The 12,328-nt window shown below is 44.1% G+C and overlaps 2 annotated features.

Moving 5' to 3' along the window:
* Positions 8,174 to 9,151: an enhancer, noted in NCBI's record as "OCT4-NANOG-H3K27ac-H3K4me1 hESC enhancer chr2:151573-152550 (GRCh37/hg19 assembly coordinates)". NCBI's record gives its function as "activates a minimal SCP1, AML or CMV promoter by ChIP-STARR-seq in naive and primed H9 embryonic stem cells {active_cell/tissue: H9 hESC(naive and primed)}" and the evidence as "EXISTENCE:reporter gene assay evidence [ECO:0000049][PMID:30033119]".
* Positions 9,152 to 10,131: an enhancer, noted in NCBI's record as "NANOG-H3K27ac-H3K4me1 hESC enhancer chr2:150593-151572 (GRCh37/hg19 assembly coordinates)". NCBI's record gives its function as "activates a minimal SCP1, AML or CMV promoter by ChIP-STARR-seq in primed H9 embryonic stem cells {active_cell/tissue: H9 hESC(primed)}" and the evidence as "EXISTENCE:reporter gene assay evidence [ECO:0000049][PMID:30033119]".

Here is a 12,328-nt window from a genome sequence, read left to right as displayed (position 1 = left end):
AAGGTGACCACATCCACCTTTAAACACGGGGCTTGCAACTTAGCTCACACCCGACCAATCAGGTAGTAAAGAGAGCTCACTAAAATGCTAATTAGGCAAAAACAGGAGGTAAAGAAATAGCCAATCATCTATCACCTGAGAGCACAGTGGGAGGGACAATGATTGGGATATAAACCCAGGCATTTGAGCCGGCAATGGCTACGCTCTCTGGGTCCCCTGCCTTTGTATGGGAGCTCTGTTTTCACTCTATTAAATCTTGCAACTGCACACTCTTCTGGTACATGTTTGTTACGGCTCGAGCTGAGCTTTCACTCACCATCCACCACGGCTGTTTGTCGCTGATGCAGACCTGCCACTGACTTCCACCCCTCCGGATCTGACAGGGTGTCTGCTGTGCTTCTGATCCAGTGAGGCACCCGTTGCTGCTCCGGATCAGGCTAAAGGCTTGCCATCGTTCCTGCACGGCTAAGTGCCCAGGTTCATCCTAATCGAGCTGAACACTAGTCGCTGTGTTCCACGGTTCTCTTCCATGACCCACAGTTTCTAATAGAGCTATAACACTCACCACATGGCCCAAGATTTTCCATTCCTTGGAATCCGTGAGGCCAAGAACCCCAGTTCAGAGAACAAGAGGCTTGCCGCCATCTTGGAAGTGGCCTGCCACCATCTTGGCAGCTCTGGGAGCAAGGAACCCTGGTAACATTCTGGTAACCATGAAGGGACCTCCAAAGTGGTGAGTAATATTGGACCACTTTTGCTTGCTATTCTGTCCTATCCTTCCTTAGATTGGAGGAAAATACCGGGCACCTGTCAGCCAGTTAAAAACAATTAGCATGGCTGCTGCTAAGACTCAGGTGTGAGGCTGTCTGGAGAAGGGCTTTCTAACAACCCCCAACCCTTCTGTGGTCTGCCTGGAACCAGCTTCCACTTTCAATTTTCTTGGGGAAGCCAAGGGCAGACTAGAGGCAGAAAGCTGTTGTTCCAAACTCCCTGAATTAGCTGGTTGAGATCATGGTGCAGCCAGAAGTCTCTATTCTACATGTGTGCACCCCTACCTTTCCTTCTGACCCATACTTCCTGGGTCCCAACCATGACTTTCTTGAAAGTGTAGCCCCAAAATTCTCCTTACCTCTGAATCTACTTCCTCCAATCCCTGCCTCCTAAGTACTAATGGTTCAGACTTTCCTTTTTCCTCTAGCAAGTTGTATCTCCAAAGGGATCTAGGGAAGCTCTACGCTGCATCCTCAGGCATCTAGGCTATAAACCCAGGGAGTCTTAGTGTCCCTCCTGATTTAGGTATACAGCTCTCAACATGGGCAGTTATGTGGGACCCATTCCCCACCACTCTTGCCAGGGTCCCAAGTTTGTAAACGGCAGAGAGAGATGGGGAGAGAGAGAGAGAGAGAGAAAGAGAGAGAAACAGAGAGAGACAGAGACAGAGAGACAGAGGAGAGAGACAAAGGAGAGAGATGGAGAGGAGAGAGACAGAGAGGAGAGAGAGAGACAGAGAGGAGAAAGAGGCAGAGAGACAAGCAGGGAGTCAAAGAGAGAAGGAGAAAGATAGAAATAGTAAAAAAAAAAAAGTGTGCCCTATTCCTTTAAAAGCTAGGGTAAATTTAAAACCTATAATTGATAATTGAAGGTCTTCTCCATGACTCTATAACACTCCAATACTACCTTGTTGTCAGTGTAAACAAGGGCGTAGCCTGAAAACACTGAGACCACTGACAACCCGTAGCCTTCCTATTAAAAATCCTTAACCCAGTAACCCGTGGATGGCCCAAATGCATTCAATCTGTAGCGGCAATTGCTTTGCCAACAGAAGAAAGTAGAAAAGTAACTTTTAGAGGAAACCTCATTGTGAGCACACCTCACCAGTTAAGAATTATTCTAAGTCAAAAACCAAAAAGGTAGCTTACTAACTCCAAAATCTTAAAGTATGGGGCTATTCTGTTAGAAAAAGGTGATTTAACATTAACCACTGAAAATTACCTTAACCAAGCAGATTTCCTAACAGGGGATTTAAATCTTAATTACCATACAAAGATCCAACCAGACATAGGAGGAACTCCCTTCAGGACAGGACCATAGATGGTTCCTCCCAAATGATTGAGGAAAAAAAACACAATGGGTATCAGTAATTGATAGGGAGATTCTTGTGGAAGCAGAGTTAGGAGAATTGCCTAAAAAATGGTCTGCTCAAATGTTGGAGCTGTTTGCACTCAGTCAAGCTTTAAAGTACTTACAGAATCAAAAAACTCTATCTCAATCCTGACTCAAAAAGTTAGCTACACCGTCTCTGGAATGAATTTGCATAAGATCTGTTGTTTATGGGGATGCATCTTGATGGGACAACTGGGTTGTTATGAAATACTCAGGAACCCAGCCCAGCTCTAGGACTCACCGCTGAGCACAAAGGCAATGTTGGGCACGCTGGTAAAGGACCACTAGAATCCAGCAGCCTGGACCCCTTTCTTTGTGGTCAAGAAAGGCGGGAAAAGGGGTGCAGGACTGCTATATCAGTAAGTATAACTAAGAATTCAGCCCAGCCAGAGTGCATGTACCTTTTTCTCTCTCAGACTTAAAGCACATTAAAATAGACCTAGGTAAATTCTCAGATAACCCTGATGGCTATATTGATGTTTTACAAGGGTTAGGACAATCCTTTGATCTGACATGGAGAGATATAATGTTACTGCTAGATCAGACACTTACCCCAAATGAGAGAAGTGCCACCATAACTGCAGCCCGAGAGTTTGGTGATCTCTGGTATCTCAGTCAGGTCAATGACAGGATGACAACAGAGGAAAGAGAGTGATTCCCCACAGGCCAGCAGGCAGTTCCCAGTGTAGACCCTCATTGGGACACAGAATCAGAACATGGAAATTGGTGTCACAGACATTTGCTAACTTGCGTGCTAGAAGGACTAAGGAAAACTAGAAAGAAGCCTATGAATTATTCAATGATGTCCACTATAACACAGGGAAAGGAAGAAAATCCTACTGCCTTTCTGGAGAGACTAAGGGAGGCATTGAGGAAGCATACCTCCCTGTCACCTGACTCTTTTGAAGGCCAACTAATCTTAAAGGATAAGTTTATCACTCAGTCAGCTGCAGACAAAAGAAAAAAACTTCAAAAGTCCCCCTTAGGCCCAGAGCAAACTTAAAAACCCTATTGAACTTAGGAACCTCAGTTTTTTATAATAGAGATCAGGAGGAACAGGTGCAAAAGGAAAAACGGGATTAACAAAAAGGCCACCTTAGTCATGGCCCTCAGGTGAGTGGACTTTGAAGGCTCTGGAAATGGGAAAAGCCGGGCAAATAGAATGCCTAATAGGGCTCGCTTTCAGTGCGATCTACAAGGACACTTTAAAAAAGATTGTCCAAGTATAAATAAGTTGCCCCCTTGTCCATGCCCCTTATGTCAGGGGAATCACTGGAAGGCCCACTGCCCCAGGAGACGAAGGTCCTCTTAGTCAGAAGCCACTAACCAGATTGATCCAGCAGAGCAGGACTGAGGGTGCCTGGGGCAAGCACCAGCCCATGCCAATCACCCTCACAGAGCCCCAGGTATGCTTGACCATGGAGGGCTAGGAGGTTAACTATCTCCTGGACACTGGTGCGGCCTTCTCAGTCTTACTCTCCTGTCCCGGACAACTGTCCTCCAGATCTGTCACTATCCGAGGGGTCCTAGGACAGCCAGTCACTGGATACTTCTCCCAGCCACTAAGTTGTGACTGGGGAACTTTATTCTTTTCACATGCTTTTCTAATTATGCCTGAAAGCCCCACTCCCTTGTTAGGGAGAGACATTCTAGCAAAAGCAGGGGCCATTATACACCTGAACATAGGAGAAGGAACACTGTTTGTTGTCCCCTGCTTGAGGAAGGAATTAATCCTGAAGTCTGGGCAACAGAAGGACAATATGGACAAGCAAAGAATGCCCGTCCTGTTCAAATTAAACTAAAGAATTCCACCTCCTTTCCCTACCAAAGGCAGTACCCCCTTAGACCCAAGGCCCAACAAGGACTCCAAAAGATTGTTAAGGACCTAAAAGCCCAAGGCCTAGTAAAACCATGCAGTAGCCCCTGTGAGTCTCTAATTTTAGGAGTACAGAAACCCAACGGACAGTGGAGGTTAGTGCAAGATCTCAGGATTATCAATGAGGCCGTTTTTCCTCTATACCCAGCTGTACCTAACCTTTATACTCTGCTTTCCCAAATACCAAAGGAAGCAGAGTGGTTTCCAGTCCTGGACCTTAAGGATGCCTTTTTCTGCATCCCTGTACATCCTGACTCTCAATTCTTGTTTGCCTTTGAAGATCCTTCAAACCCAACGTCTCAACTCAGCTGGACTGTTTTGCCCCAAGGGTTCAGAGATAGCCCCCATCTATTTGGCCAGGCATTAGCCAAGACTTGAGCCAGTTCTCATACCTGGATGCTCTTGTCCTTTGGTACGTGGATGATTTACTTTTAGCTGCCTGTTCAGAAACCTTGTGCCATCAAGCCACCCAAACACTCTTAAATTTCCTTGCCTCCTGTGGCTAAGGGGTTTCCAAACCAAAGGCACAGCTCTGCTCACAGCAGGTTAAATACTTAGGGCTAAAATTATCCAAAGGCACCAGGGCCCTCTGTGAGGAATGTATCCAGCCTATACTGGCTTATTCTCATCCCAAAACCCTAAAGCAACTAAGAGCATTCCTTGGCATAACAGGCTTCTGCTGAATATGGATTCCCAGGTACAGTGAAATAGCCAGGCCATTATATACACAAATTAAGGAAACTCAAAAAGCCAGCACCCATTTAGTAAGACGGACTCCTGAAGTAGAAGCGGCTTTCCAGGCCCTAAAGAAGGCCCTAATCCAAGCCCCAGTGTTAAGCTTGCCAACAGGGCAAGACTTTTCTTTATATGTCACAGAAAAAAACAGGAATAGCTCTAGGAGTCCTTACACAGGTCTGAGGGACCAGCTTGCAACCCATGGCATACCTGAGTAAGGAAATTGATGTAGTGGCAGAGGATTGGCCTCACTGTTTACAGGTAGTGGCAGCAGTAGCAGTCTTAGTATCTGAAGCAGTTAAAATAATACAAGGAAGAAATCTTACTGTGTGGATATCTCATGATGTGAATGGCATACTCACTGCTAAAGGAGACTTGTGGCTGTCAGACAACCGTTTACCTAAACATCAGGCTCTATTACTTGAAGGGCCAGTGCTGGGACTGCGTACTTGTGCAACTCTTAACCCAGCCACATTTCTTCCAGACAATGAAGAAAAGATAGAACATAACTGTCAACAGGTAATTGCTCAAGCCTATGCCACTCGAGGGGACCTTCTAGAGGTTCCCTTGACTGATCCTGACCTCAACTTGTATACTGATGGAAGTTCCTTTGTAGAAAAAGGACTTTGAAAAGCGGGGTATGCAGTGGTCAGTGATAATGGAATACTTGAAAGTAATCCCCTCACTCCAGGAACTAGTGCTCAGCTGGCAGAACTAATAGCCCTCACTCAGGCACTAAAATTAGGAGAAGAAAAAGAGAGAAGACTCTAAGTATGCTTACCTAGTCCTCCATGCCCACACAGCAATATGGAGAGAAAGGGAATTCCTAACTTCTGAGGGAACACCTATCAAACAACAGGAAGCCATTAGGAGATTATTATTGGCTGTACAGAAACCTAAAGAGGTGGCAGTCTTACACTGCTGGGGTCATCAGAAAGGAAAGGAAAGGGAAATAAAAGAGAATCACCAAGCGGATATTAAAGCAAAAACAGCCTCAAGGCAGGACGCTCCATTAGAAATGCTTATAGAAGGACCCCTAGCATGGGGTAATCCCCTCCGGGAAACCAAGCCCCAGTACTCAGCAGAAGAAATAGGATGGGGAAACTCACGAGGACATAGTTTCCTCCCCTCAGGAAGGCTAGCCACCAAAGAAGGAAAAATACTCCTGCCTGCAGCTAACCAGTGAAAATTACTTAAAACCCTTCACCAAACTTTTCACTTAGGCATTGATAGCACCCATCAGATGGCCAAATCATTATTTACAGGACCAGGCCTTTTCAAAACTATCAAGCAGATAGTCAGGACCTATGAAGTGTGCCAAAGAAAGAACCCCCTGCACTGCAGGTCATACATTTCAATTCCTGTATCTGTAACCTCCTTGTTAAGTTTGTCTGTTCCAGAACTGAAGATGTAAAACTACAAATGGTTCTTCAAATGGAGCCCCAGATGTAGTCCATGACTAAGATCTACCATGGACCCCTGGACTGGCCTGCTAGCCCATGCTCCAATGTTGATGACATCGAAGGCACCCCTCCCGAGGAAATCTCAACTGCATGACCCCTACTATGCCCCAATTCAACAGGAAGCAGTTAGAGCAGTTGTCAGCCAACCTCCCCAACAGCACTTGGGTTTTCCTGTTGAGAGGGGGCACTGAGAGACAGGACTAGCTGGATTTCCTAGGCCAACTAAGAATCCCTAAGCCCAGCTGGGAAGGTGACTGCATCCACCTTTAAACACGGGGCTTGCAACTTAGCTCACACCCGACCAATCAGGTAGTAAAGAGAGCTCACTAAAATGCTAATTAGGCAAAAACAGGAGGTAAAGAAATAGCCAATCATCTATCACCTGAGAGCACAGTGGGAGGGACAATGATTGGGATATAAACCCAGGCATTTGAGCCGGCCATGGTAACCCCCTTTGGGTCCCCTCCCATTTTATGGGAGCTCTGTTTTCACTCTATTAAATCTTGCAACTGCACACTCTTCTGGTCCGTGTTTGTTACGGCTCGAGCTGAGCTTTCGCTCACCGTCCACCAGTGCTGTTTGTCGCTGTTGCAGACCCACCACTGACTTCCACCCCTCCGGATCCAACAGGGTGTCTGCTGTGCTCCTGATCCAGTGAGGCACCCATTGCTGTGCTGGACTGGGCTAAAGGCTTGCCATTGTTCCTGCATGGCTAAGTGCCCAGGTTCATCCTAATCGAGCTGAACACTAGTCACTGGGTTCCACGGTTCTCTTCTGTGACCCATGGCTTCTTTTTTTTTTTTTTTTTTTTGAGATGGAGTCTTGCTCTGTTGCCCAGGCTGGAGTGCAGTGGTGCCATCTCAGCTTACTGCAAGCTCTGCCTCCCGGGTTCACGCCATACTCCTGGCCACCATGCCTGGCCTGACCCACAGCTTCTAATAGAGCTATAACACTCACCACATGGCCCAAGATTCCGTTCCTTGGAATCCATGAGGCCACGAACCCCAGGTCAGAGAACAAGAGGCTTGCCGCCATCTTGGAAGTGGCCCACAACCATCTTGGGAGCTCTGGGAGCAAGGACCCCCTGGTAAGACTGTCATATCAGGAGAGAGGCCGTTGCTTTTCTGATTCTGCAGTTTTATTGCCCAATATCTCCAGAGTTTGCCTCCTACCTAGAATCTTCCTACAGCTACCTGTGAACCACACCTGTAGCTGACTGCTGCTCCCAGGGGGCAAATTATCCCAACAAAACTTAGGAGTGCCTTTGTTTGACAATGTCTTTAACTAGATTTGGGATGCAATATCACATATAAAGATTTTGCAGCCACTCTACATATCACTATTATATTAAATTCTTATTGTTTTGTTGTTCTTATATGACTGAATTTCACCATTAGGGTGTCTTCTCTATTCCTGGTAACTTTGAAAGCAGTAATTTCTCAACAAATATTTGTGAAAAAAATGAAAGAATGAAAAACAAAGTATGGTGAGGGCACATTTTTATGGCTTTTGCCCCTTCAATTTTTTTTGTACATAAATAAGATAAAGTAAAACCATTTAAAACAATTTCAAAACATTAATAGACATGCACTCTTCAGTATATGAAAATTTACTGACATATTATTGAGTAAAGCAAGCATATCCAGGCATATTCAACTACACCCAGAGTAACATCTCATTAGGGTAAAGTAACATATAGATATATGCAAACAGAGATGTCTAGAAAACTGTTCACCAAAACTAACAGGGATATCTAGGGTGGTGGAATTTTAAGTGAGTTTTTCTTTGTGCTTGATTAAAGTTATTTGGGTTTTTTGCAATTATATGCAAAATTTTATTTTAAAAGAAAAGTTATTTACAGAGTTCCACCTCTGGTATGGAAAAGAAAGCTTTGAATATTCAATTGGAAACTCTAAATTCTGAATATATAAAAGCAACTACCTGAAAGGTCTGAAGAATAAAAAAATTGTTACTGGTAGAAGGTGTCCAGGTGCTTGGCATCTTGAAGCAAGAATTGGACAAAACACACAAACGAACTGTGGAAAGCAAAAGCAGGGATTTGTTGAGCGTGAAAGTACCCTCCACAGTGCGGGAGTGGGCGGGCATAGAGGCTCAAGAGCCCCACTTACAAAATTTTCTGGGGCTTCAATACTCTAGACGTTTCCCGTTGGTTACTTGGCGAATATTTTATGTAAATGAAGAGAGTGAAGTGAAGTCACAGAGTCTTTTACTCAGAATGTGCCCTATTGTAAATGGAAAGGATGTTACTTGGTGTGTGTGGTCTATGTAAATGGAGAGGATGAATCTGAAGTTACAAAGCCATTCACATTCCTGTCATTGCTGAAGTGCTTTCATTTGATTTAGTTCTAGGAAGTCAGCATGGATCAACCTTATGTTCCCTGCTGCCAGACCCTATTCTCCTACCTCAAAATGACAACAGATTTTGAAAGAGTAACAAAATATGAAAGAAGTTATCAGCACAATGTAAGCTTCCCATTTTTGTGGCTTTGTCCTGAGGGAAGGCCATGAATATAGTGTAATTCGGGGTTGCTAAAACTTCACTGAAAAGCACATTGCCTTTCTGGCCTGGGAAAGACCCAGGTGGCAGCAGCCACTGGGAATTGAAGGTGAATCTGGGAGAGGAGAGCGTTGGAGAGGTGAGCATTTGTTCATTTGTTCTGTTGTAAACTCTGCCAGTCTCTGGCTAACATGCAACGTGTGGGCAGGACAGGCTCAGGGCTAAGGGAGTAAACAGATATGTGAGTCACTATCCATTGCAGGTAAGAACAAGTTTGCAGTTGCAGATATAATATTTATATATATATATATAAAATACAGCAGAACCCAGAGTCTCCATGGCACAATGTCCAGGATTTGCTCTCAAATTACTCAAAATATGAACAGAAAAATAAACTCATTCTTTAGGGAAAAAAACTTATCAAGAAAAGGCCAGTCCAGGTGATGTCAGCAATATGGTGGAGCAGGAAACACAAGCCTTCATTTTCCAAAAAAACCAATAGTTAGACAGCTATGCACAAATTAAAATGGGCTTGGGAGGGCTTAAAGGTCTGATTAGAGCCTGAAACAAGGCAGTAGAGTAAAAAATGGAGAAAGGGTTGCTGGGGAGATCAGATTAATGGAGATTGCTGTAGATGGCTGGAAAAGAGAAGGGCAGAGGCTACCAGTGTCAGCCACATGGTGGGTGCCACAGAGGTCCCTGTGGCTGACTCTGCAGAAGACAATGACAACTTTTGCCACTGAGGCAACCAACAACTATCACTGACACAGACACCCCAGAGAAGAAGGCATTCCTTCCTCTGAATGTTTCTTGCTGTGCCCTCCCAGAAGGAGCCACTATTGTGTCACCTCAGGACCAAGGCCACCACCTCCTGAACGCTGCATGTGCCCTGGACTCTGAAGCTGAAGCTGTTCCACTCACACCCATGCTCCAGGTCCTAGCTCCATGGCCACACCATGCACAACCACACCTCAGACACCAGAGCCGCTGCCCTGTGAACCAGCCCCACTCCTGTCCCTCAGGAGGGACCTGTACCCTAAACTGCCGCTCCCGAGCACTTAGGTCTTGGACATAAGAACCACTGCCCCACAGTGGGGTGTCCCATCTCAGGCCCCACAGCTTCACTGATCTGCATGTGCTTGTGCTTCACATAAAGTGAGGCATCAAAAACAGAAAATGTACATGTTGGGGGCAAAAAGGAAGACTGTTTGCATGCAATTGAAGTTAAGTTGTTATCAGCTTAAAAGAGACTGTTATTACTAAGATATTATACATCAGCTTCCTGGTAACCACTGTGAACCCCGAAAATTTGAGACAGGTCTCAGTTAATTTAGAGTTTATTTTGCCAAGGTTGAGGACATGCCCATGACACAGCCTCAGGAGGTCCTGACATGTGCCCAGGTGGTTGGAGCACAGCTTAGTTTTATACATTTTAGGGAGACATGAGACATCAATCAATATGTGTAAGAAGTACATTGTTTCAGTCTGGAAAGGTGGGACAACTTAAAGCAAAGGCAGGAAGACTCAAAGGGAGGAAGGGGCTTGCTTCTAGGTCACAGATAGGTGAGGTTGCATTCTTTTGAGTTTCTGATTAGCCTTTCCTAAGGAGGCAAATCAGATATGCAACTATCTCAGTGAGCAGAGGGGTGACTTTGAATAGAATGAGAGGCAGGTTTGCTCTAACCAGCTCCCAGCTTGACTTTTCCCTTTAACTTAGTGATTTTGGGTCCCCAAGATTTATTTTCCTTTCACACCACAATGCAAAAACCTATAGTTGATACACAAAAGATAGAGAGAAAGGAGTCAAAGCTTATCACTGCAGAAAATCATCAAACCAAAAGGAAAACAGCAAGAGAGAAAACAGGCAGAAGAAATCTATAAAACAGCCAGGAAACAACACAATGTCAATATAATCGTCCTCAGGTTTTCATGGAGGATGCATTCTAAGACCACCAGTGAATGGCTGAAATCCTGGAAAATCCTGGAGCCAACTAAACACATTTCTGTTCCTCTCTTCCACCCACAAATTTAATGCCTTTTTCATCTTAACTAAGCACTTGTAATACTTATCACTGTGGCCACAACTTTTGCAATTTGAGGTGAGACAGCAAAACTAGCACAAATGTTTTTTCCTTCTTCACAATTTCATGACTAGAAGTGTGTAAATAAATGAAAATGACTGAGGCAAGTTTTAATCATTTTAGGAGGTTTGTTTGCCATTGTTGAGGAAGTGCACCTGGGAGGTAGGTCTATGTCTTTTTCCAGGGATTATTTTGAGGGCTTCAATATTTAAATGGGAAGGGGCAGATATTAGAAGAGAAATAATTTTTGAAGTATTGGTGGATAGAGAGAGAGAACGGTTGCATCTTTTTGAGTCTTTGATTAGACTTTTACTGAATACACAATTTTCATGTGAGATAGAGGCAGAGGAAATAGTCACTTATGCCTTCATCTGGCCCAGCGAAGCTGCATTTTTACATAAGCTAACACAGACAATAGGGCAGAAGAAGCAACCAGATATGCATTTGTCTCAGGTGAGCAGAAGGATGATTTTGAGTTCTGTCCTTTGTCCCACACCTGTGAAGATAAGCATCAACTTACATTGCCAGGGTGAAATTCAACAGAACTGTTGCAGAATAAAGATCTTGGGGCCTACAAGAAATTCCTGGTGGGCAAATTGTGAGGGAGGTATGTAGCTTTTAATCTTTATAGTCATCTTATTTAGGAACCAAAAGGGAGGCAGGTTTGCATGACCCAGTTCCCAACTTGACTTTTCTCTTTGGCTTTGTGAGTTTGGGGTCCCAAGATTTATTTTCCTTTCACAAAAGATTGTATGCGGAGGTTGCTAAGATTTCTTACCATAGATCTTAGCAACCTCAGCATACAATATTTTTTCCTCAGGAAGTTGAGAACTTTCTCACCTATTCACTTAAAGAAAAGACTTTAAGGCTTCTCTTTGGCATCTCTGAATTGCCAGCATCACTGCTCTCACAGTTTGGTGCCATTATTAAGTAAAATACAGGTTGCTTAAACATAAGCACTATGATATCATGACAGCTGATCTGATAACCAAGATGGCTACTAAGGAACTAACCGGTGGGTAGTGTATGGATTCACTGGACCTGCTGTAGCATGGATACATTGGACAAATCGATGATTCTCCTCCTGGGCAGGATGGTGCAAGATTTCATCACACTACCCAGAACAGCACACAATTTACAACTTAAATCATGTTTATTTTAAGAATTTCCCACTTAATATTTTCAGACTGCAGTTGACCATGCATAACTGAAACAGTGAAAACAAAACCACTAATTAGGGGGACTAATATAGTAAGTTATTAACTATTGATAATCACCTTGAATTTAAATGGATTAAATTTGCTAATCAAAGACATTGAGTGACAGAATGAATTTTTTAAAGACTCAACTATATGCTGTTTGTAAGGGACTTACTTTACCCTTGAGGACACACATAGACTGAAAGTTAAGGAATGGTAAAGATATTCCATGCACATGGAAACCAAAAAGGAGCAAGGGTTGCTATACTTAGATCAGATAAACTAGACTATAA

This window comes from Homo sapiens, chromosome 2, assembly GCF_000001405.40.
Source record: "Homo sapiens chromosome 2, GRCh38.p14 Primary Assembly".
Lineage (NCBI taxonomy): Eukaryota > Metazoa > Chordata > Mammalia > Primates > Hominidae > Homo > Homo sapiens.
This window is presented reverse-complemented; position numbering and strand designations above follow the sequence as displayed.